General features: G+C 43.3%; 1 protein-coding gene across 10 annotated transcripts in view, besides 1 other annotated feature; it reads left to right on the top strand.

The window, feature by feature from the left end:
- Nucleotides 1–25,343, top strand: part of CSMD2 (CUB and Sushi multiple domains 2) — a 651,845-nt gene that overhangs the window by 587,461 nt on the left and 39,041 nt on the right. For 7 of the 10 annotated variants that reach the window (XM_047443685.1, XM_047443656.1, XM_047443666.1 and 4 more), the window contains 7 exons: nucleotides 898–1,086; nucleotides 5,691–5,876; nucleotides 6,656–6,850; nucleotides 8,835–9,008; nucleotides 10,616–10,789; nucleotides 18,909–19,082; nucleotides 20,460–20,648. In XM_047443685.1, the coding sequence (XP_047299641.1) occupies nucleotides 898–1,086; nucleotides 5,691–5,876; nucleotides 6,656–6,850; nucleotides 8,835–9,008; nucleotides 10,616–10,789; nucleotides 18,909–19,082; nucleotides 20,460–20,648 (1,281 nt within the window). Of the gene's footprint in view, nucleotides 1–897; nucleotides 1,087–5,690; nucleotides 5,877–6,655; nucleotides 6,851–8,834; nucleotides 9,009–10,540; nucleotides 10,790–18,908; nucleotides 19,083–20,459; nucleotides 20,649–25,343 lie in introns of all 10 variants that reach the window. The other 3 variants (NM_001281956.2, XM_017000191.2, NM_052896.5) reach the window with 3 other exon arrangements.
- Nucleotides 4,054–4,223: an enhancer, noted in NCBI's record as "experimental_7293 CRE fragment used in MPRA reporter constructs". NCBI's record gives its function as "activates a minimal promoter by MPRAs in K562 erythroleukemia cells, with activity observed for both the introgressed and non-introgressed 1:34039844 variant alleles {active_cell/tissue: K562}" and the evidence as "EXISTENCE:reporter gene assay evidence [ECO:0000049][PMID:34662402]".

Genomic DNA, 25,343 nt, shown 5'->3' with positions numbered 1-25,343 from the left:
GGTCTTGAACTCCTGGCCTCAAGTGATCCACTGGCCTCAGCCTCACAAAGTGCTGGGATTACTGGCGTGAGCCCAGGCCAGGGTTTTGGTCTGTTTTCTTCACTGTTGTATTGCAAGCACTTAGAACAATATCTGGAAGATAATAGATACTTGATGTCTATTTGTTGAATAAATGAATGAAATAAGTTGAAGCCATATGTGGAGGGGAAATGAGCACTGTAGGGAAATGTGTGTCCCAGGTTGCCACAGGTCAGTCTCAGCACATTCCCCCACACAGCACAAAGAAGGACAATGACCACTTACTGAGCATTGAACAGTGAGTGCCCCATGCTGTGCTGGGGGCTTTATGTACGCAATCTACATATACAGCTTAAATTGCCCAAAAATCTGTGAGGTGGGTATTACCAGTCCCAATTTACAGGCGAGGAAATTGGAGCTGAAGTGATTTGCCCCAAGTTACAGAAACTGGTCAGATCAGAAACGGGACTGGAGCCCAGCCCTCACTAAGGTCAAAGTCCACACCCCCGCAGTCGCAGCTTTCTGGAACCAACCCCATTGGGTTCTACTTTCTAAGTCTGTTTCGGAGCTGAAGGGATTTGAGAGCCTGAACTTAGCCATACACCAGATCTACCTTTGGACCGCAAAAGGGACCCAGTGCTTCATGAAGCTGGTTTTTTTTGTTTTGTTTTGTTTTGTTTCCGTTGTTTTGTTTCGGCTTTACCAACCTGACTGGGTGTTTTTCAATATCCACCATTCAGACTTTCCTCAACAGCAGAGGATGTGGCAGTGGCAAAGACAAGGGGATGGGGGGGAGACGAAAGGGAAAGGGGCCTGCATGAAAGACCATGTCTGTCTTCCTGCTGGTGCCAGTTCCCTGAACCTCATCTTGTTGTTCAGCCCCTTACTGCAGCCTGCCCAGGGCTCCACTCCATGGCTTCATCCTAGGCCAGACCAGCACCCAGCCCGGGGGCTCCATCCACTTTGGCTGCAACGCCGGCTACCGCCTGGTGGGACACAGCATGGCCATCTGTACCCGGCACCCCCAGGGCTACCACCTGTGGAGCGAAGCCATCCCTCTCTGTCAAGGTGAGAAGCAGGTGGAAAGGGGGTCACAAGGTAGCTCGGATCCAACTCATATCTTGGGTTTGTCCCAGGACTAGTCACTTCCAAATGTGGGTTTCCTCTTTGATAATTATTTCATTCTTTCCACAAGCATTTACAAGATCTGTAGTGCGTAGCAATCTCAGTGTTTTGAGATCCATGGGGGAGATGGGTATGTGAGCACATCAATGCAAAGTGGCAGAGGAAGGAAGTGTCGTGTCAGGAGCATAATCAGTGTTGTGGGAGCCCAGAGGTGAGAAAGGATCTGCTTCCTCCTGGCCAGCTGGGGAGGGCTCCCAGCAGAGGGGATGCTTGGGTTCCGGCTCATAGAGCAAGTGGGTTGATCAAACACTTGAAATGTGTCAGTCAATTTGCATGCATTACCTTTTATGATTTATGATTTTATGATTTATGACAGTTTTTTCCCTTCAAGTAATATACATTCAAACTAAAAATCTGAAGAAGAAAAAAAAAAACGGTAGATAATGCAAAAGAAAAAAAGTGAAAATGAACAATAAACCTGAGATCACCACTGTTAACATTTCAGCACATTTCCTTTGGTCTTTTATGTATTGATTATAAAAATAGGATCATCCGTGTACAAAGCTCTTATAGATTTTGTTTCCCATAATGCTGTGCAACCACTGAAAATCATGGTGAGGAAGTATATTTAACTATATACTATTTTTTGAGACAGAGTCTCCCTCTGTCGCCCAGGCTGGAGTCCAGTGGCATGATCTCAGCTCACTGCAACCTCTGCCTCCTGGGTTCAAGCAATTCTCCTGTCTCAGCCTCCCGAGTAGCTGGGATTACAGTCACCCGCCACCATGCCTGGCTAATTTTTGTACTTTTAGTAGAGACAGGGTTTCACCATATTGGTCCGGCTGGTCTCAAACTGCTGACCTCAGGTGATCCGCCCACCTCGGTCTCCCAGAGTGCTGTGATTACAGGTGTGAGCCACCGCGCCTGGACTCTATTGTTAATATTATACTTCGTCACCATTATTTTCAATAGTTGCACAGCATTATGAGAAAATTGTCATTCATTTAAGTATCATTCTCTTGTTGGTCATTTGGATTTCTATATTCTTTGTGACGATAAACTTATAATTCCATCTTTATGAATATTACATATTTCCTTAAGGCAAATTCTCAGAAATGAGATTCTCGCATCATAACGTATGCGATTGACAGCTGTCGATACTGATTGCCTCCCAGAAAGTTTGTCCTCATGTATAGCAGCATGTGAGAACTGTCTTTTCTCCCACAGTCTCAACGTTAGGCACTGCATTTAAAAAAAGAAGAAAACATTGCCAACTACATAGACAAAAACAGGAAATCACATTGCTATTTGATTTTTCCTTTGGTTCCCAGTAGTGGTGAAGTACTTTTTAATGACATCTCTCATCTCTAATCCTCACAACCTTCTCGCCTGTGCCTGTGCTTTCTCAAAGAACAAAAACAATGTGCTATTAATAATCTACTCTACCCCTAAGCAAAGGTCACAGTGAACTGGCTGTCCACAAATGGCAAATGGCATTTGGCTTTGGTCTCTGCGTCTCTAACTGCATTAACAAGGACAAGTCTTTTTTCCGGAGCGCCAGTTGGAACCTACTAAGCCTCTCATTTCTGTTACCTTACATCACCACCCAAAATTAAGCCTCCACCAGACTTCAGTTGACCCATCCCCATACTACTGTGCATGTCTTCTCCCCACTGCACCCCTTGCCTCCCACTGATGCCCTTCCTCTAAGCCTCCCACTGTGTTCTCTGGAATCCTAGTTCCGTGGCCAGCAAGCGTACACCCTCAGTCCCTACCCAGCTGGCTGTCTTCACTTCCTCCCTCCATGGAGACCATGGCTGTCCTCTGAGAGCACGTATGCTGTGGCCCTTTCAAGTGGATTGTTAATCCCCCTCCACCCACCTCCTACTTCCCACAGAATTCTGGGCCAGGAAGGGCCTGGCATTATTCCACTTCTCTACTGCTGTTTCCAAACCATGACTTTTCCACTCTTCCTTTAGAGACTCTATGCCTCCTAATGCCTTCTCTCTCCTTCCCCAGCCCACTCTCTCACCTGTGTCTCTCTCCCTCAGAGATCTCATTCCACCACAAGCCTCAAATACTTTGTGATTGTATCCCCTCCTCCTCCTACCCACAGGAAGTGTCCCTCTTACCACCGGGTTTTGGGGACTGCATTTTGGCATGGAGATCATGAGACACAGGCTTTTAGTATCTCAGGCTGGAGTATTATCTTCTGTCCCCTTAGTTATCTACAAGAGCAAGGCCAGGCCAGGGCCTGTGAGAAGTGGCTGCCGCCCACTTCCTTCACTGCCCTCCCTGGATTGACTCTCCATGCAAGACACCAGTGGAGATCCAAGTATTTCTTCCCAAAGGATTTAAGGAAGCTGGGCAGGTAGTTGATGTAATATGACAGCTTAGCTAACCTAGTTCCACTGAAGGAGCTCATAGCCTTTCTGATTAGTCATTAAGAGTCTCATGTTTAAACACTCTCTTATTTCTCATTCCTTCTGTGTTCCTGATCCTCCTCTTCTGGAAAGTCCCACACTTAGATCCTTCTTCCATCTTGGTATTCCAACTTCTCTCCCTCTGAACAGTCTACCCTCCTCCATTCATAATGGAGCCCCAGCCTGATGCCTCTTATTGGTTCTGGAAATTCTTATAGCATCAAGCATCTTGTTAGGCAATCTCAATGGGACTCTGCCCAAGCTTATTCTGGCTCTAAGCGAAAAAGTTCTGAGCTCTAGACTAGTAGCCAGAGGGGATAGTGGATGGAGGCAGTAGTGGGTACTTTGACGGATTAATCTTTCCATCTGTAATACCCCCTGAGCTGTCAAAGAGCAAGGATGATTTATAAGTATTACTTTCTTTCAAAGACCAAACAGTCTACTCTTGCCTAAGTAATTCCTATTCCTCCTATAAACATAATGTCGACCCTACTCCTTATAAAATAATAATCCTGGCCATGTTGCTGCAAACATTTCTCTCCTGAGTTGTCCCTTTGAGATTCCTTTTCTTTGTATTCTTGAGTTAGTTCTGTCATTTTTCATATCTCATATATTGTCCTTTCCTGGTTTTCACCCTCTTTTTCATGGGGTATATCCTTAAGTAAATTCCTCAGAAAGGGTTCACAAGAGGTGCATTTTCTGAGACTTTACATGTCTGAAAGTGTCTATCTTTTTGCCCTCACACATGTTTGGTCAGTTGACTGGGTAAAATTCTAGTTTATAAATCATTTTCTTCAGAGGTTTAAAGCTTTGTTCCATTATCTTTGAACACTCACTGCTGATGGGAAGTCTTATGCCAGTTTGATTCTCGTTCCTTCACAGTTATGTCATTTTTTTTTCCCTCTTTCTAGTAATTTGGAGGAATGCCTGTGTGTCTCTGGACTTCTTAGATACACAAAATTCCGTGATGGTGAATCTAAGAGGGATTCTCTTTGCATTCCTTTGGCTCCCTTTCCATCTGAAGACTTGTGTCTCTCTTCAGCTCTGAGAAATTTTCATCTATGATAATTCCATCCCATCCACTTTTTGTGTTCTCTCTTTTTGGAGCTCTGAACAGTTGGATGCTGGACCTTCTGTATTGAGGATTGATCCGTGTTTTCTGTCATTTTCTCTCATTTTCGGTCTCTTTTTTTTCTATATTCTGAGAAATTTACTTTTCATCTCTAATCCTATAATGCTTATTTCGGCAATCATATTTTTCATTTCAAAGAGTTTGTCCTTGTTTTTTTTTTGTTTGTTTTTTTTTCCTTCAGAGCACACTGATTTTATTTTATGAGTACCGTATGTCACCTTGACTTTCTCAAGATACTACTGATCAGAAGTTTAAAGATTGTGTATCTTCTGTTTTCTAAATTAGCTCTGTTTCCTAAGGGGACATTTATTTTAAACTTTATCTTGGTTTGTCTTGTTCGCACTGCTGATTTTCTTCACATGTATAATGATCCTTGATCGTATTTTAAAAGTAAGGGCCAGGTTGATTTTTCCAGCTATGAGATGTGGATTACGTTTGTTATTTTTATATACAGATATCTTGGTCCACAAAGTCTCTCCTATCAGTGAGAGGTTGAGTTGAGTATGTGGCAGACCTGAGTAGGCAATGGGGCAGCCTTTAGGCCAAGAGACCATAAATCCTAGAATTAAAAGAGCTTTCCTCTGGGATGCCAACTCCCACCATAACAGCCCTAATTCATCCTAAGAGAGATCCCCCCTCAGTGGAAAAGAAAATTCTCTCTTTCGTTTGGAGAGTAGATACTTGAATGTGTCTACACTGTGTTTGTGGGAACAGATGGCGGAGAACTGGTTTCACCCTGAGGCTCCCTCCCATATATTTTGAGCTACAGCTTCTTTGCACTTCTATCTTTATTCCTTCTTCCAAACTTAAAAAAAAAAAGAAGAAAAAACTCTTCTGCTGATGATCCTCCCATTTTCTTTTTTATTATGATACTTTACCCTTTAATTAGTTTTTACTAATAAAAGGACCTTGGGAGGGGAGGAAGGATAAAAATAGTTTCTCAGAATACCATCTTAAAACAAATGCTCATGACATTGTTTTCCTTTTGCTAGCTCTTTCCTGTGGGCTTCCTGAGGCCCCCAAGAATGGAATGGTGTTTGGCAAGGAGTACACAGTGGGAACCAAGGCCATGTACAGCTGCAGTGAAGGCTACCACCTCCAGGCAGGCGCTGAGGCCACTGCAGAGTGTCTGGACACAGGCCTATGGAGCAACCGCAATGTCCCACCACAGTGTGTCCGTGAGTCCTCGGGCAATGGAGGCGGGTGTAAGGAAGGGCTAGGTAGGCAGCTGGAAAGATTCCTGCAAGGAGTGAGCTAAAAGCAAAGTAATGAGGGGGAAAAAAAAAAAAAAACATGGACATGGAGGTTGGAGGATTTCAGAAGAGGAGGCAGGTGCTGAAACTGCTCTCAGCATTGATAACCATTGTGCCCTAAGATGTTTCCACAAACCACCATGGAACTTAGGAATGGCCTGGTCCACTCCCTTTTAGATGGAAAACCTGTCAGAAAGTTTGCATGAATGTCCCTTGATTCCAAAGCTCTAAAAACAACAACTTTTAGGCCAGATCACAAAATGGCAACCTCCTCGACTATGTCCCATCCAAAGACAGAGGTTTTTGTTTTGTTTTGTTTTTTGGCCTACACGGTGCTTTATAACAAATTTTGAATTACTCCACAATCTTTTAAAATCAAGAAATTTTACATTAAAATCCAGATTTCTGTCTTCTCTTGAAAAATGAAAATCTAATCAAATGCAACTCAAACATTCAATAGTCAACCTTGACTGAGTACTATTTCCCTTTTTTAATTTTTAATTTTTTAGCAGAACTGTACTCCCCAGTTTGCCACATCCCCCACCCAACCCACCTGTTCATTTACCAAACCTGCCTGAGAACTGAAGATTCCTGGATTCTTCATTATTGCATTAAGGTCTCCAAGTCCCTAGATCTGGGCTCTTACAAGGTCTTCCAGAATTAATCAAGTAATTAATCCTCCTTTCTTTTCCTCATTTCCCCAGCTGTGACTTGTCCTGATGTCAGTAGCATCAGCGTGGAGCATGGCCGATGGAGGCTTATCTTTGAGACACAGTATCAGTTCCAGGCCCAGCTGATGCTCATCTGTGACCCTGGCTACTACTATACTGGCCAAAGGGTCATCCGCTGTCAGGCCAATGGCAAATGGAGCCTCGGGGACTCTACGCCCACCTGCCGAAGTAAGCCCAGGAAGGGAGGGTGGGCAAGTTTAGCAGGGTCCCTCCTACCTAAGCTGTCTCATGCATGGAGTGAACTGGGGTGGGGGAAAAAGGGGTATCACCAGGGATTGCAGTGTACTGCTTTTTAAACTCTCATCTAGTAGAATCAGGAGCTGGGAAAATGCCTACTCCTTTACTCCTTTAAGGAAGTATTTCTTAGCATCTTCTCATCTTATCAAAAGCTGCTTTTGTCCAGATGAGCATGCACTAATTCATTTCTTTAATATTCTTAGGCTCTTACTATATGCCAGACACTGTAGAGGTTTGAAGATAAAAGATTTTGGTTCCTGCCCACAAGGACTTTATAGTCTACTGGAGAGGCAGACACATAAAGAAGTGATGATAATGTGGTGCGATAAGACCTGAAATGGGAGTGTATATAGGAGGAATGAGGGTAGCACAGGCGACAGGTCACCTAAACCTGCCTGCCTTCTCCATTGTCAATTGTTTTTCTTTGGTTCTTTAATACACTTTCAAAGGTCGGAATCTCTGGGAAGACACTCTGAGACAGAGGCTTATTAGGGGGTGCTCTTGAGAACACCACCTACAGAAGGGAAAGGAGGGAAGGAAGCAGGACTGGGCAGAAGGAGAATTGAGCTCTGATGCAGTATCCATGAAAGCCTTAGCTCACCCCCCAGGGAGCTCTGGATGGCCCTTCAGAATTGTCACAAGTTGGAGCAAGGGAACTGTTATACTGCCACACTGACCAGCCACTGGATGCAGGCTGGCCTAGGAATGGGACATGACCTTCCTAGGTGGGAGGACTCCTCAACCACAGCAATCTGAAAAGGGCTGCCAGCCAAGGGTTGTTTTCCAGCAGCTGGGGAAATAAGTCCCTCGGTCCTAAAAGGGGCTCTGAGTAGCTCATCGCAGCATGCACTACGATAGGGATATGCTCATCATATTTATGTGACCAATGCAGATGTCACAGAGGAGGCAAGTGATTGTAAAGAGGTAGAAGGAAGTGGTCAGTGAGAAGTGGGAGTTTGAAACTGGGAAGGAGGAGAAATGGTGTCTTCCAATGCCTGTGATCCAGGTTGGGCATAGATCCCAGCATTTGAGAGGCTGAAGTGGGTGGATCACTTGAGGTCAGGAGTTCGAGACCAGCCTGGCCGACATGGTGAAACCCTGTCTCTACTAAAAAAAAAAAAAAAAAAAATTAGCCAGCATGGTGGTGCCCACCTGTAATCCCAGCTACTTGGGAGGCTGAGGCAAAAGAATTGTTTGAACCTAGGAGGCAGAGGTTGCAGGGAGCCAAGACTGTGCCACTGCACTCCAGCCTGGACGACTGTGCAAGACTCCGTCTCAAAAAAAAAAAAAAAAAAAGCCAATGTCCGTGATTCATGACACTGTTGTCTTTGCACACTGTGGTGCAGACTGCACAGTGGGATGTAACCACATATGTGGCAGAGTAGTCCCAAGCGTTTGGCAGCCTCACTACAATGCAGCCACTCACATTTCAGTGCAGCCTTGGCGATTAGGCCTCACCTCATACATCAGCCAGAGGCTCTCAGCAGTGCTCTGTTGACAAAGAGTGTGAGGCTGCTGGGCTCAGAAAAGAAGGGCAAGGAAATTGATTAGCAGTGTCTGCCCAGGGCACTCAGGAGCATACCACAGAATCGCCATCTCTTCCTAACCACAGTGCACATCTCAGCCACCTGAGGAGGATTAAAAAAATACACAGGCCAGGGCGCTATCTGCAAAGCTGGTGAGTCAGGCACCTGCAGTGGAGCCGGGCATTTTAAATAACCTTCAGGGGCTTCTGGAGACACCTCCAGTTGAGGTGCCACATCACACAAGTCAGCAACACAACCCATATTCTGGTCAGGAATTCCAGCAGAGTAAGGTTAAACAGGTCTTATTTTTGTCACAGTTCTTGCTAAGCAGAAGCAGCCATGTCCCTCCTCTTGGGGCTGGCTTACTGAGCATCTTGTGATCATTTTAGTCATCTCCTGTGGAGAGCTCCCGATTCCCCCCAATGGCCACCGCATCGGAACACTGTCTGTCTACGGGGCAACAGCCATCTTCTCCTGCAATTCCGGATACACACTGGTGGGCTCCAGGGTGCGTGAGTGCATGGCCAATGGGCTCTGGAGTGGCTCTGAAGTCCGCTGCCTTGGTAAGTGACCTCTGCAGGCCTATCCTGCCCAGTTTTTCTCCTTGAGATAGATTAGATCTTTCCAAAGCTGAGATCCAGTCTTTAAACAGTATCATTTCACCTATTGACATAAAATGCTTAATCCAAACACCAACTATTGGCCATCAGGCATGACTAAAACCCTGGAACAGCTTCTCCTGGGCCACCCAAAAGAAGGAGAAGAACCTCAGATCTAAAGAGACAAGCTTTTGAGGGGTTCTCATTCTGGTTAGAAAGACAATCCCTTCCTATTGGCCTTTGTATAATGAGTGAAGCCCCAGTCTCCATTTTTGGCAAATTTGCAGACGCATTCCTGTAACACACCTAAAATACCTTTTATATTATCTATTAGCAAATTTTACACACAACATATAGATCTATACATATATACTAAGCAAATTACAGAAACATAAAACAACCTGGCTTCCAAAGGACAAAGTTATCATTTCCTCCATGGCTAATCCACTCCCTGGTTCTATGGTTCTGTCTCCTCTCACACCTTTCTTGGACCCCTGGAGTCTAAAAGAGGGCCCCAGCCACATAAACCTAATAGGATAGATTGAATGGTCTGTCCTGGGGTGAACAGTGCTGTCTTGCCACTGTCTCAGGCCCATTAAGGACACAGTCACAGGTTATTTCCACAGAGAGCCAAAGGAAGCTGGTAGAAATGCCAGGAATATATTCTACCCAAATCCCATATAATAAAAAGAATTCACCTAGGTGCTACTCAAGGAGAAGGAAGGAAAGATGAATTTAGCCAAACCATCTGTTTTTACATAGTTGTTTCAACACAGCCAGGTTTTGACTGCCTTAATGTAGACAATGGTGCCCTCCATGCAGCAGATGCTCGGTGAAAAACAAGATGCCCAGGCTAGGTGTGGTGGCTCACGCCTGTAATCCCAGCACTTTGGGAAGCAAAGGCGGGTGGATCATTTGAGGCCAGGAGTTCGAGACCAGCCTGGCCAACATGGTGAAATCCATCTCTACTAAAAATACAAAAATTAGCTGGGTATGGTGGTGGATGCCTGTAGTCCCAGCTACTTGGGAGGCTAAGGCAGGAGAATCCCTTGAACCTAGGAGGTGGACATTGCAGTGAGCCAAGATCGTGCCACTGCAGTCCAGCCTGGCAGACAGAGCAAGATCTTGTCTCAAAAAAAAAAAAAAAAGATGCTCCTGAGTTTGAGTTTTTGGGGGCGTTTCTTGTTTGTTTGTTTGTTTTTTTATAGAAGGCTTTTTTGTATCTGGTTGGTAAGAAAAAGTGGGGGATGATCCTGGGGACAGTGAGGTAACTGATCATTTTGCACACATCTGTGTAGAGACACAGAAACTGAAGCTCAGAAGTGAGTGGCCATTTGGGGTACAACCTTGGGATTTGGGGTGCCAAGTCCTCAACACTATTTTTGTCATGCTGAGGGTTCCTGAAGTCACTCCTAGATTGCTACTCTCAGGGAGAGGTGGGAAAAGTAATGAGTTGTGGGATAGTTGGTCCTTTTCCCCACCATCCCTGTCTCTAGCCACTCAGACCAAGCTCCACTCCATTTTCTATAAGCTCCTCTTCGATGTACTCTCTTCCCCATCCCTCACCAAAGCTGGACACTGTGGGACTCCTGAGCCCATTGTCAACGGACACATCAATGGGGAGAACTACAGCTACCGGGGCAGTGTGGTGTACCAATGCAATGCTGGCTTCCGCCTGATCGGCATGTCTGTGCGCATCTGCCAGCAGGATCATCACTGGTCGGGCAAGACCCCTTTCTGTGTGCGTAAGTATGTCATCCACTCTCCCTAGTCATGGGGCTCAGATTCAACATGGACTTTCTCCCTGTCTCTTAATTAGATTAGCTAGAGGTTTGTTTTAAATATATATATATATATATGATTGCTATTTTTTTTTTCAAAACTGAAAGCATTGTTGATCTAATGTTTTCAGTTCTCTGCATCATTAATCACTGTTTTCACCTTTATTATTTCCTTCCTTGTGATTTCTTTTGGTTTACATTTTTGTTCATTTTCTAGCTTTTGAGTAGGAATTTAATTCATTTATTTTCATTCTTTCATTTCTATTGAGTTTTATTGCTATAAGTGCTTAAGACTATGAAATTTCCTCTGATCACTGCTTTAATTGTATCCTATAGAGTCTAATAATAAATGTTTATTATTTATTAGAAATTCTGTAATTTTGGTATTGATTTCCCCTTTTACATAGAAAATTTTTAATAGAAGGATTTGTTTCTAGGTGGAAGGCCCTTTTTTTTCATTGTGTTATTCATTTCTAATTTTATTGCATTGTATGTAATATTTCTACTTCATGGAATTGACTGAAGCTTTCTTTGTGACCTAATAGTTGGTCAGTTGTTATGAATGTCCCATGTGCACTTGAGAAGAAAGGATATTAGGATGTCATGTTTTATTTATATATTCATGAGATATATCTGATTGATTATGTTGTCTATGTCCTTTACATTCTTACTTTTCACCCACTCAATCTGTTTTATTCTGAGAGATGTGTTTAAAGTTTTCTATTATTAGTGTGTTTCTGTTTTTCCTTGCACTTCCTGTAGTTTCTGTTCTATAAAGATGGTTGCTGTCTTATTTGGTGCATAGATATTCATAACTAGTATCTCCATTGCACATTGTGGTTTTTAGCCTTTAAAGATTACTTTTTTGTCACTTTTAACATTTTTTAGCTAGAATTGTACTTTGCTTGATATTAGGCTTACAACCCCTGCTTTAATTCTTTTGCCTGATGCACCTTTGACCATTCTATTTTAGCCTTCTGCTTCTCTTAGGTGTGATTCTTGTATGCAGTATAAATTGCCTTATAAGCTAACTTAACCATCTTTTTCTTTTAGTTGGTTAGTTAAACTCATTCACATATATTAATATGACTGATATGTTCGGTCTTAATTTTGCCGTCTCCCATTTCCCCCACTTCTCCACCCATGGTAACCACCATTCTGCTCTCTGTTTCTACGTATTTGACTTTTGGAATTATAATATTAGTTTAATTCTATTTTTCTTATAGGTTATTTGGTTGTTTTTTTTTTTTGAGGTTCCTGATTATTTTTCCCTTTATCCTAAAGTCTAATATTTTTACTAGGACATGCTTCAGAGTTAATTATTCCAAGACAATTTCCTTAGGTATTCTATGGGTCTTTGAATATATAGATTCAGGTCTTTCTTTATTTCCAAAGACTTTTCTTGGATTATGGTTTTAAACACTGATATTGCTTTGTTTCCCACTGTTTTTTTTTTCTTCTTCATCAGCTCTGATTATGTGTATGTTGAATCTTCTTTGCCTATCTTCTCTCTCAGCCTCTCTCTCATTATTTTCACCTCTTTATCTCATTTTAATTCCCTTGGTTTTTTGCCTGACTTTCTTGAGTAACTCTTATTAAATTATCATTTGAGAATATTCTTTCTTGGGCCTCTTATAATTTAGTCTTCATTTCTCAGATGGTTTTGTCTTTTTCTTTTATCTCTTTAAAGCATACAATCAGTTATCTTTTATATTCTTCCACCTTTTGTCCATTTGTGCTGTTTAGTTTTTGATTTTCTGATTTTCATGGTGGTTTTTAAAATATCTCCAGATGCTTATTTGAGAATATTTAGTTCAGTTTAGAATGCTGCTACATTTTTCTTACGCTTCACATGTTTTGTTTTTGGTGAGGAGGTTTTCATCAGATGAAATTCTTGAATTCTTTTCTATTTTTTTCTTAAAGTAGCTTCGTATACATTTAGGTTGATGTCTTCTATTCATTTTATGGCTTTAGTGTGGTTTAGTAGTACCCTCTTCTGTCAGTGTTACAAAGTCTTTCTCTCTGATTGTTTTTACTTCTTTATCTCATTTTGATTATCTTGGATGTTTGCCTTTGTTTTGTTTATTTATTTTTTTTAATATAAGGTTTTGTGTGTGGTAAGGAAGAGGTTGTGTGTCCTTCATTTTTGTTTGTTTGCGTGTTTTTCTTTTGTCTTGCAGAACCCCAGGTTTTCCCATCATTGCTTCTTATTCCCTTTATCACTCAGAGGATGTCACTTTCTTTTCTTCCAGAAGCAATGAGGGAGAATCACACACACTTTTATGTCCCTTTTCTGTGGTTGTACATTGACATACCAAGATTTGTTTTCAGTATATTCATATATGAGATGGATTTTCTCCTTCTGGCAGTGATTTTAGATCAGTGTTAAGCCCTTCACCTGCTCCTCTCTTCTCTTTCTCATACAGTCTTGCTCTCCACAAAAGCTTGCAACAGAACCATGAGAAGTAACTCTGCCTGGGCTTAGTGTATATTTCTCTTACATGTAATTTAAAGTTTGTAGCACTCTCTGGCTTCTAGTTAGGCTGCAGGCCTGGGTTTTCTATTATTTATTCTTCTGGTTAATCTGCATTTTTTTGATTTAGGCAATCACTGTTATGCTTAGCTGCCTGGAAGTAATTTGGATAATTCTTCACTTTTTAAATTTCCCTAAAGTGAGCCTTTATGTAAAGTGCAAGTTTTCCTTCTTAATTTTTGTAAGGCAGTTTTTTTATTTTAATTCTTCTTTTGGCTTTTTATATATGGGATGGGGCCATAAAATAATGAGAACTTCTCAAAAAACAATGCCTGAAATTAGTCTTAATAACTTCTTAAGGGTTACAGAAAGCAAGACCCAAGCCAGATATTGTAGCTTGTGCTTGTAGTCCCAGCTATTCAGGAGGCTGAGGTCGGAGGATCCATTGAGCCTGGGAATTTGAAACAAGCCTGGGCAACATAATGAGATCCCATCTCAAAAATAATAAAAAATAAAGTTCCATCTGTATTCAGTCACTCTTTCAGATGTGTCTAAATAAAACATGTTTAGTTTCACCCAGAAGAACATGCAGATGCCCTCAGGAAATTGGTGCACGATGTATACAAAGAGATTTAGGTAATAAATAATAGAGACTGTCGGGGTCTGGGTGGAGAATGTCTGCCTGGCCTAAAGACATTGAACGTTAGACTGGACCATATTCAAAGGCAGTGAGTGAAGTAGTTAGGCACTCAGGTGTGGACCCAGATTGCCTGGGTTTACATCTCAGCTCTACCATCAGATCTGCTGTGGCTATGTAACTCTAGGTAGGTCGATTTACCTCATTAGGTCTCAGTCTTGTCACCTGTAAAAAGCAGGCACCTCAAAGACTACTGGGAGCATTAAATAAATTAATACACATAAGATAGTTAGACCGGTGTCTGATCCAGATGTTAAGCAGCAGTTGCTGCTGCTGCTGCTGCTGTTGTGTGATGATGATGATGATGAAGATGATGGTAGTGGTGGTAGTAATGCTGCCACCATCACATTACAGAATCCAGGATCTCTTACACTAAGGCCCATTCTCTCTTGGAGCACAGAGGTTTGGGAATTATCTGGAGGAGGAAAGCAAGAATAAAAGAACAAATATTTGTAAGTGTTTACTCTGTGCTAAGCACTGTGTTAGCTGCCAGTACATACAAAGTCAAGGTTTCCAATGTCAACCAGACTCTCAAAATTTTCCAGCTGTCCTCTTCATTTCCTCAGTCAGTTCCCTTGCCCTTTCTCCATACAGCTGTTTGACAATTCTGCCTCCTTTCTGAAGACTTATATTCCATCGCCCCTACCTACGTTCTCAGCAAATAACTAAGTTAAACAGTTAAGATGGCCTGGAATCAGAGAAGCTGGGTTCAAAATTCAGATGAGACATTTAGAAACTGTGACCCTTGAACAAATATCTTGAGTCCTCTGAAATTCTGTTTTCTGTGGGTATAGTGGTGGTGCCTACCTCATAGGGTTGTGAGGATTAAGTGAGACAATGACTGCGAGCCCCAACAATTGTTAGCTAATCATATAATATCACTTTCTATTCTGCAGAGATGATAGAAGCCATCAGAAAATAGCTTCTCCTACTTTCAGCTTCCCCACCCACACATCTGCTCTGTGTACATCCATCCTTGCCCCTTCTCTCCCACCTCAGTAGAAGAATCTCTCTCCCAGCCCATGGTTAATCCCTCCACCAGTCTCTGGATCTCCTTCCCTCCTGCCTCCTTAGTGAGGTTAGTCTATTCTTAATCCTCTCCTATGTTACCATGGACCTTCCCTTTCTGTTTCCCTCAGCTTCTAAGACCATATTCAATAAAGATTCCCTTAGCATCTACTATATGCCAGACCCTGTGTTAGGTGCTGAGGATCAACATGAATTGAATGTGTCATACATCATCTCTGCCCTTAGGAAACTAGGTCTAGTTGTCCTGAAATGTGCTCAAAAGCCCATTAAGTGCTCAAGCCTCATCAGGACCTCTACTTTCCTCCTAATGATGCCTTATTCTTCTGCCCATGGCAGCCTGTATTAGTTCAGAGTCCTCCAGAGAAACAGAACAAATAGGAGGTGTGTATAGAGAGAGAGTGCAATTTATTTTAAGGAACTGGCTCACACAATTGTGGAGGCTGGCAAGTCCAAAATCACCAGCATAGGCTGGCAGGGTAGAGACCCAGGAAAGAATCACAGTTCAAGTCTGAAGGCAGGCTGCTAGCCGAATTCCCTCTTCTTCCAGGGATAGCAGGCTGCCTTTTCTCTCAAGGCCTTCAACTGATTGGATGAGGCCCACCCACATTATGGAGGGCCTCATAATCTATTTCACTCAAAGCCTCCTGATTGAAATGTTATCTCATCTAAAACATACCCCTTCACAGAAACATCTAGAATAATGTGGACTAATGTTTGGCCATATGTCTAGGTATCACGGCCTAACCAAGCTGACACGTGAAGTTAACCATCACATGGCCATGCTGCTTGAGACGGTTGCCTACACTAATTGCCTCCACCTCTCCCCTCTCATTAGCAGCAAAGGCCACTTCTCTGCTCTAGCCAGAAAGAACTTCCATCCCAGTCAACAGTATCTCTGGTCCTAGGCCATGTTCTAGAATGCTCAGAGCCTCTGCTACCCAAGAGCTGCAGAGCAGGAATCTGAGAAGTGCCAGCCAAAGCTTCCAAGCAGCCAGAAAGCCTGGGACCTAAAGAGAGCAAGAAGAACTTATATGGGGGCACCAGAGATGACACCTGGTCGCAGCAGCTTCTTCTCCTGCTGATCCTGGTCCAGGGCCTGTGGCTTGGGAATATGTGGGAAGCAGTGGGTAAGAGCCTGAACCAGGCAGGGGACACTTGCAAGTCACCAGTGGTCCTATTGATGAATCCGATGAACACATTTTCATCTTTATCTTATTTGATCTATCAGGGATATCTGACAATTCTTGAGGCTCTTGGCTCTGTGACAACTACCCCCTCCTGTAGAGCTTTTTGCTTTACTACTTTTTTGATCACTCCTCAGTTTCCTATAGGTTTTTTCTTTTTTAACATCTGCCCTTCAAAAAGTGGTATTCCCAAGGGTTTTAATCCTCAACATTCTTCTCTCTCTTTATATGAGTGATTTCCGCCTTCAGGGAAGGGGCATCACGACCTTTTCCAAATCCGGTGAAAGTAATGGACCCTCTCCCGAGCTGGCTGCAAACACCCAGTGCCTTGCATATAATTTCAGGGGTTTACAGATGCTGCGATGCTTATCCCTGCTCTCCCACCACCTTCTTGACCTGGCGAAGCCCTACTCACCCTTGAGACCTAGATCAGACCTCATGCCACTCCCTGTGGGACCCTCTTTGACCCACTCTCTCCCCAGAGGAGGGTAAAAGCCACGGTCCACTGCGCTGGGCTCTATCTCAGCACCAGCCCACTGGGTTTAACAGCCGCTTCCCTGCCTGCCCTCCTACAAGTCTGTAAAATGAGCTTCCTGAGGTCAGAGAACATTTTATATTCTTCTTTGTATATTCCACTCCATAGCAGAGTACCTAGCTCATAAAAGGCACTCAGTAGACATTTGATTATAAATAATTATGTGAATTGAATCTATTTTCAAAGCAACCCTGTGAAATGCATATCAAAATTCTTACTTTGCAGCTATAGAAACCAAGGCTCAAAGTGAATTATCCTTAGACCCAAAGTCAGGAAGGGGCAGAGCTGAGCCGAAATCCTGGTCTGCTGGCCTTCATAGCTCATTCTCATCTCACTATGCCAGGCTGCTTTGAACCCCTGTGGTCCACTAACAGCATGTCCCCTGCTCTTCCTGGCTCCCTCCACTGGAGTCAGGGTTGCTACTACTGAGATTTACAGAAGAGAACTAGCCCAGAAAACACCAGATCTGGCCACACCAAGGACTGGGTGCTTCCTCTTCTTACACCCCCGTCCCCATTATCACCATTTGGGTCTTAGGTGGGATCCTCATGGATTTAAGTATTGGACAAAGAGAACATCCCTTATAGTTCCTAATCTTCCCACAAATTAAAACCCAGAACAAAGCGAGAGGCCTGGCAAAAGCATCAGGTGGGAGTTCAACTCCATGAGACCAGGGTGCCAGGCTGGGACGAAATAGAACTAAGGACTAAGGATCAAAGCAGAAGCCTAGGCATCCATCCATTCATGCACTTACTCATTCGCTGATTCACTCAGCAAATATTTATCACACTCCTGCTGAATGTCAGGCACTGGTACATACACCAAGGATGCAGCAATAAGCAAAACCAAGTCCCTGACCTCAAGGAGCTTGCATTCAGCTGAAGGGTGATAAGCAATAAACAAATACAGAAGTGCTGTGGTGTGTTGGTTGCTGACAGTGCTATGGAGAGAGGTTGAGCAGAGCAAGGGACCTGGCAGTACTGGCCATGCTGGCCAACTAGGGACTAAGGGAAGGCCTCACTGACATGGTTAATTTGAGGAGAGACCTGAGAAGAAGAGGGCAGGAGTTAAGGGATATCTGCAGGAACAATGTCCTAAGTAGAGAAAAAAGCAAGTGCAAAGGCCCTGAGGCAGGAACTTGCTTTGTATATTCATGAAACCTCCAAGAGGCCAGTGCAGCCAAATAGAGTGAGCTATACCACTGGGAGAAAGGGGGAATCAGAGGGATGCAGGGATAAGCATGGTGGCCTGCAAATACCACATCCCTTTTCTCTTCCCTGCTCATGTCTGAACAAAATAGTAAAACAGACTGGTAGGTGGAGGCCCAAATATTACCTCGCTTACTAATAAAGGCTAAGTTGGAAAATGGAGCTTAATGTGACAGTCAGATGGAGGCTGCTACATGAACCCAGAATGAGATGGATTCACCCACCCACAGAGGCAACACTGCAGTGGGGCATGCAGCCCTGCAATGTTGGGGATAGCCTCCCTCCTCAACAGCTGAGAGCAGCCGAGAACATTGCTCCCTGCAGACAACTAGGTCCCTAGAAAAAGAAGGGATGCTGAGCCAAACATGCCAGCTCATTACTCCCAAGTTGCACAGATCAAAGTGCACTAACTGAACTCCCTTGCCATGGAAGGAATTGGAGGTAGTGGGTTCTCTCCAAACAGCAGCTCTGCTTCCCCAGTTTACCTGGGCTATTGATCTAGCAGAGTGACTGAACTCTGCACCAGTCTTGGTTAGTATTCACTCTGGTTCTACAAGGTTGGCTCAGGAATGAGGATGGGCCTAAACCAGCTGACAGTTGGCCATCAGTATACCCAGCAATTAAGAATGGATCTGGGGAGCCGAGGGCATCAGAGGCAAGGAAAGTAAGATAGCACTGACCGCTCAGACCACAGAGAACCACAGTCCAGTCCTAACACCCTATGGGAAGTCATAGAATGATTGATCTCAAGTTGTCCAAGCTACAGACATATCTTCAAGGCAGACAGAATGTTCCCCTGACAATTTCAGTTTATAAAGGTTTTACAGCAAAAGAGATTGAAGTTAGACTTAGGGCTGAACTTCACTGATGGCCTAAGAGATGCCAGGTGAGAGGTGGATAAATTCTGAGGGGTGTGGAATAGTAGGAGGGCTTACCTATCTTCTGTTTTGGTTACAGCAATTACCTGTGGACACCCAGGCAACCCTGTCAACGGCCTCACTCAGGGTAACCAGTTTAACCTCAACGATGTGGTCAAGTTTGTTTGCAACCCTGGGTATATGGCTGAGGGGGCTGCTAGGTCCCAATGCCTGGCCAGCGGGCAATGGAGTGACATGCTGCCCACCTGCAGAAGTGAGTCACCCTTTCTCTCCCAATCCAGTCCCCACCATCTCTGCTATATGTGGTTCTGTAGCTCAGAAAAAGAAGCCAGTGAATTCATTCTGGCATCATTCTGATCCAGATAGGGAAGATGGAGCAGAGAAGGGTCATAAATGAGGACTTTCTCAACCCTTAGATAAAGAGCCACATAAAATTTCATCATCATGGGTTATATAAGGAAAGCAAAACTTAAGTTTTATCTTTCAAGTCGTCTTTTTTACCTTTCATTGAACAAATAATGTATCATTATCTTATAAAGCCCCGTTATTTTTTAACAGAGGTTTATTTTTCTCACATAAACAAGAGATCTAGAAGTAATATTATTTCTGCAGCTGCTCCACGAGATCAGGAGCAATATCTTGGTCTTTCCTTGTGGTTGCAAAATGGCTGCTGCAGCTCCTTTGGAACCACTCTTAAGAGATCCCCATTCTTGATGAAAAAGCAGAGGGTTAAAAAGCAGAGAGCCTAAGAGTTGAGATAAAGGGGGTGAGGGCTGGGGGAAAACACACAGAGAGGAAGCCAAAGACTCAAAAGGCAGAGAGAATACAGAATGTCCTGGCTCTATTTGGAGTATTTAGGAAATAGCTTCTAACGCTTTTAGAGGCTTTTGACAGCAGTGAAGCCTCAGAGAGCCTCATCAAAAGTAAAAATCCTTAAAGGCTTATCAAAGATTTTTAAAAAATACCTTCCTGCCCACTTCATATGATAAGTTTGAGACTCAGGTAAGATAATGGATTTGAAGATGTTTGGAAAGAAAAGTATAGTCATGGGTTATGAATAATGTTGTCATTATTCTAAAATCTTATCCTGATTTTGAGTTAAGCTGCTTTGGAAACACTTTTAAGATTTTAAAGTCAAATATATCCCCCAGGATATTAATATGTCCCTGAAATACTCATAAAAGTGATTAAAACCATTTTCAAAAGAGCCCAACCCTGTTCAAGTCAGTTCAAATGCGTCAGTTTTACAATTGACAAGCTTTGCTGTGGGAGGCACATTGTGCTACGATCAGATATATGGAGACTAGACATTCATGCCCTCAAGGGACTCGTGTGTTCAAACAAGTCACAGCACAGGCTGGTAAAGTCAGCAATAGCGATTTGTGCAAGGGAGTACCAGAAAGAGAGTAATCAATCTGGGAAGAGGTGGGAGGAGTTCTCTAAGGAGGTGATGTCTAGCTGGACATGGAAGGATGACTCTTCTGACCAGGTAACCAAGGTGAGGGGAGAAGTCCAGCAACCTTGGGACCAGCTCACCCTCCCGACAGGGTCTGCTTCATTGCCTAGTTTTGCTCGGAAGATTTTACTATACTGGGAATCCATGCCTGTTTGGACTTCTGTTCAATTGCAGTCATCAACTGTACAGATCCTGGACACCAAGAAAATAGTGTTCGTCAGGTCCACGCCAGCGGCCCGCACAGGTTCAGCTTCGGCACCACTGTGTCTTACCGGTGCAACCACGGCTTCTACCTCCTGGGCACCCCAGTGCTCAGCTGCCAGGGAGATGGCACATGGGACCGTCCCCGCCCCCAGTGTCTCTGTAAGTAGATGTCACCTGCTCAAAATGACTGATGGGGTGGCCCGTGTCAAAGAACAGTCCTCCCCTCTGTGCATGTGTGTGTGTGTGTGTGTGTGTGTGTGTGTGTGTGTGTGTGTCTGCACATGTATGAGTTGCCTTATGGTGACAGTCACTCTGGCTACTCCTGGGATTTCAGATTCCTTCTTGAGCCTCTGTTGGGTGACTTCCATACCAATTTTTGTGTTCTCACTTTCCTAGCTAGAGGCCTGGTCCCTTTCCTCTCTAGTTACCACCCTCTTCAGCTTACAGAGTTCCCTTTTTTCAGAACTGGCTGCCTCGCGGGACATCATCTCCCAACTTTACCTTTTCCTTGCCCTTCCAGAAACACAGCACATGAACCCCTTCCCTTTAAAGGACTGAAGCAGAGAGGTCACAGACTCTGGAGGCAGACCAACTTGGACTGGAATTCTGGCTTTGCTACTGAACAAGTAGTGTGGTTTGGGAAAAATTCACTAACCTCTCAGAGCGTCAGTTTCTTCATCTATAAAAATGATGCCAGTACCTATTCCATAGGGTTATTAGAGGATTAAAGGGGAAACAAAATCTATTAAAAGTCCCAGCATAGTATCTGGTACATAGTAGCTACTCAATAAACAATGACCACATTAATTATTGTTAGGAAAAGAATTGGGGACAACTGGTTTTTTAAAAGGGGTTGGGGAGGTGCTCAGAATCCTGATGTATTAGTCTGTTCTCCCACTGCTATAAAGAACTGCCCAAGACTGGGTAATTTATAAAGGAAAGAGGTTTAATTGACTCACAGTTTCACAGGGCTGGGGAGGCCTCAGGAAACTTACAATCATGGTGGAAGGAGAAGCAAACATGTCCTTCTTCACATGGTGGCAGGGGAGAGAAGAATGAGCAAAGTTGGGGAAAAGCCCCGTATAAAACCATCAGATCTTATGAAAACTCACTCACTATCATGAGAATAGCATGAAGGTAACTGCCCCCATGATTCAATTACCTCCCACCGGGTCTCTCCCACAACACGTGGAGATTATGGGAACTACAATTCAAGATGTGGTTTGGGTGGGGACACAGCCAAACCATATCACCTGACATCTGGTCCCTGGCCTTACACGTCCTTAAGAGAAGAGCAACCCCTTGGTTTCCTGCTCTCCCCTCTGTTTCCTAAAGGTGAATCCACATAGATTTCTCTCTCCCCCATCTTCCAAGAAGCAAAGGTGAAGATGCACTCAAGAGGGAGTAATAGATATGCAGTTAAGGCCATGCAGCAGTCCACCTACCTTTGGCAGATTATATACATTTTGTAGGCCCTCCAGTCTGGACAACTGCATTTTTTTACGCCCTCGTGGCTGTAGGTCTAACAGGAGCCTGGTATAGCTGCTCACTGCTTGTATTTTCCTCGCTTGAGAACTCTGGCCTGGCCATCCAATCCCATTTATGACCAGCAAATAGTTTGGGGTCAGAAATGGACACCACCTGTGTACAGTGGTGCCAGCTGAGAGTCACAGCCCCTAGTGGACTCAAATTGTTTTTTCTTCTAGTAAAATGCAGCTTTTATCATAATAAAGTGACCCTATCCATATTAACTTTTTGTCCCAATGCTTGTTTTCTCTAAAGTTAATTCAGTCACATATTCAGGCTCCTCTTCTAATTCTGGTTCTCTTGCTGCTCTAATTCTGGTTCTCTTGATGCTGCTTCAGTGGAGGAGTGAGATCCTCCAATGAAGTCTTGAACCCATCAAAGTCATGCATGAGGGTTAGAATCAGCTTACTCCAAACTCCTGTTAATGTTGCTGTTGATATTACTAATAGGTATATATATTAATATAGAGGCATACATTGGAGATATTGCAAGTCCAGTCCCAGACTACTGCAATAAAGCAAAAATCGCAATAAAATAAGTCACACAAATTTTTTAGTTTTCCAGTATAATCTAAGTGTGCAGTAGTATCATGTCAAAAAATATGCACACCTTAATTAAAAATACTTTATTGCTAAAAAATACTAACAATCATCTGAGCCCTTAGCAAGTCATACTCTTCGCTGGTGGAGACTTTGCCTCAATGTTGATGACTGCAAACTGATCGGGGTGGTGAAGGCTGGTGTGGCTGTGGCAATTTCTTGAAATAAGACAACAGTGAAGTCTGCCACATGGATTGACTCTTCCTTTCATGAAAGGTTTCTCTGTAGCGTATGCTGCTGTTTGATAGCATTTTACCTACACAGTATAATGCCTTTCAAAATTGCAGTCAGTCTTCTCAAATCCTGCTGCCACTTTATCAACTAACTTCATGTGAAGTTCTAAATCCTTTATTGCTGTTTCAACAATGTTCACAGCATTTTCACCAAAAGTAGTTTCCTGATTCTTCTCAGGAAACCACTTTCTTTGCTCATCCACAAGAAGCAGCTTCTCATCTGTTTGAGATTGGTCATGAGATTTCAGTAATTCAGTCACATCTTCAGGCTCCACTTCTAATTCTAGTTCTCTTGCTACTTTTACCACATCTGCAGTGACCTCCTCCACTGAAGTCTTGAACCCCTCCAAGTCATGTGTGAGGGGTGCAATCAGCTTTTTCCAAACTCCTGTTAATGTTGATATTTGGACCTCCTCCCATGAATCACAAATCTTCTTAATGGCATCTAGAATGATTAATCCTTTCCAGAAGGTTTTCAATATACTCTGCCCAGATCCATCAGAGGAATACACTATCTGTGGAAGCTATAGCCTTATGAAATGTATTTCTTACATAATAAGACTTGAAAGTCAAAATTATTTCTTGATCCATGGGCTGCAGAATGGATGTTGTGTTAGCAGACATGGAAACAACATTCAATTCCTGTACATCTCCAGTTCTGATGTACAGGAGCTCTTCATCATTTAGCACTTGGCTGACCAGGTGCATTGTCAATGAGCAGTATTATTTTGAAAGGAATCTCTTTTTTCTGAGCAGTAGGTCTCAACAGCGGGCTTAAAATGTTCAATAAACCATGCTATAAACAGATGCGCTGTCATCCAGGCTTTGTTGTTCCATTTATAGAGCACAAGCAGAGCAGATTTGGAATAATTCTTAAGGGCCCTAGGATTTTCAGAATGGGTAAATGAGCATTGGCTCCCAGTTAAAATCACCAGCTGCATTCATCCCTAACAAGAGAGTCATTCAGTCTTTTGAAATTTTGAAGCCAGGCATTGACTTCTCTCTAGCTATGAAAGTCCTGGATGGCATCTTCTTCAAATAGAAGGCTGTCGGTGGCTCATGCGTGTAATCCCAGCACTTTGGGAGGCCGAGGCAGGTGGATCACAAGATCAGGAGATTCAGACCATCCTGGCCAACATGGTGAAACCCCATCTCTACTAAAATACAAAAAAATTAGCCAGGCGTGGTGGTGTGCACCTGTAGTCCCAGCTACTCGGGAGGCTGAGGCAGGGGAATTGCTTGAACCTGGGAGGTGGAGGAGGTTGCAGTGAGCTGAGATGGTGCCACTGTACTCCAGCCTGGTGACAGAGCAAGACTCTGTCTCAAAAAAAAAAAAAAAAAAAAAAAAGGCTGTTTTTTCTACCTTTAAAATCTGTTGTTTAGAGTAGCCACCTTCATCAATTAGCTTAGCTAGATCTTCTGGATAACTTGCTATAGCTTCCACATCAGCACTTGCTGCTTCACCTTGTACTTTTATGTTATAGAAATGGCCTCTTTCCTTAAACGTCATAAGCCAACCTCTGCTTGCTTGTACTTTTCTTCTGCAGCTTCCTCAACTCTCTCAGCCTTCATAGAATTGAAGAGGGTCAGGGCCTTGCTCTGGATTAGGCTTTGGCTTAAGGGAATATTGTGGCTGGTTTGATCTTCTGTCCAGATCTACCTACCTTCCATGGTAGGTGGATGCCAAGGACGATGCTAAACGTCCTACAATGCACAGGACAGCCCCCTACAATAAAGACTTACTCAAACTTTCTCCATGTTGGCAATAAGGCTGTTTCATTTTCTTATTCATGTATTCACGGAAGCAGCCCTTCTAATTTCCTGCAGGAACTTTTCCTTTGCATTCACAATTTCACTAATTGTTTGATTCAAGAGGCTTAGCTTTAGGGCTGTCTCAGCTTCCGACATGCCTTCCTCACTAAGCTTTTAATCATTCCTAGCTTTTGATTTAAAGTGAGAGACACAACTCTTCATTTCACTTGAACACTTAGAGGACATCATAGGGCTATTAACTGGCCTAATTTCAATATTGGTGGGTCTCAGGGAATAGGGGCACTCAAGGAGAGGGAGATAGACAAGGAATGGCCAGTTGGTGTAGCAGTCAGAACACACACAACATTTATCAATTAAGTTCTCCATTTTATGTGTGCATGGTTCATGGCGCCCCAAAACAATTACAATAGTGACATCAAAGATCACTGATCACAGATCACCATAACAGATGTAACAATAATGAAAACGTTTGAAATATTGTGAGAATTACCAAAATGTGATGCAGAGACATGAAGTGAGCACGTATTATTGGGAAAATGGTGCTGTTAGGCTTGCTCAACACAGGGTTACCAAAAACCTTTCATTTGTAAAAAAAACAACATCTGTAAAGCACACTAAAGCAAGACACAATAAAACTAGGTGTACCTGTAACTTATAACCAGCTTCCTTCTTTTAGTATTGGCATGATTTTTTTATCATTTTATTTTTAACTGCTCTCTATG

The sequence above is a fragment of the Homo sapiens genome, chromosome 1 (assembly GCF_000001405.40).
Source record: "Homo sapiens chromosome 1, GRCh38.p14 Primary Assembly".
NCBI lineage: Eukaryota > Metazoa > Chordata > Mammalia > Primates > Hominidae > Homo > Homo sapiens.
This window is presented reverse-complemented; position numbering and strand designations above follow the sequence as displayed.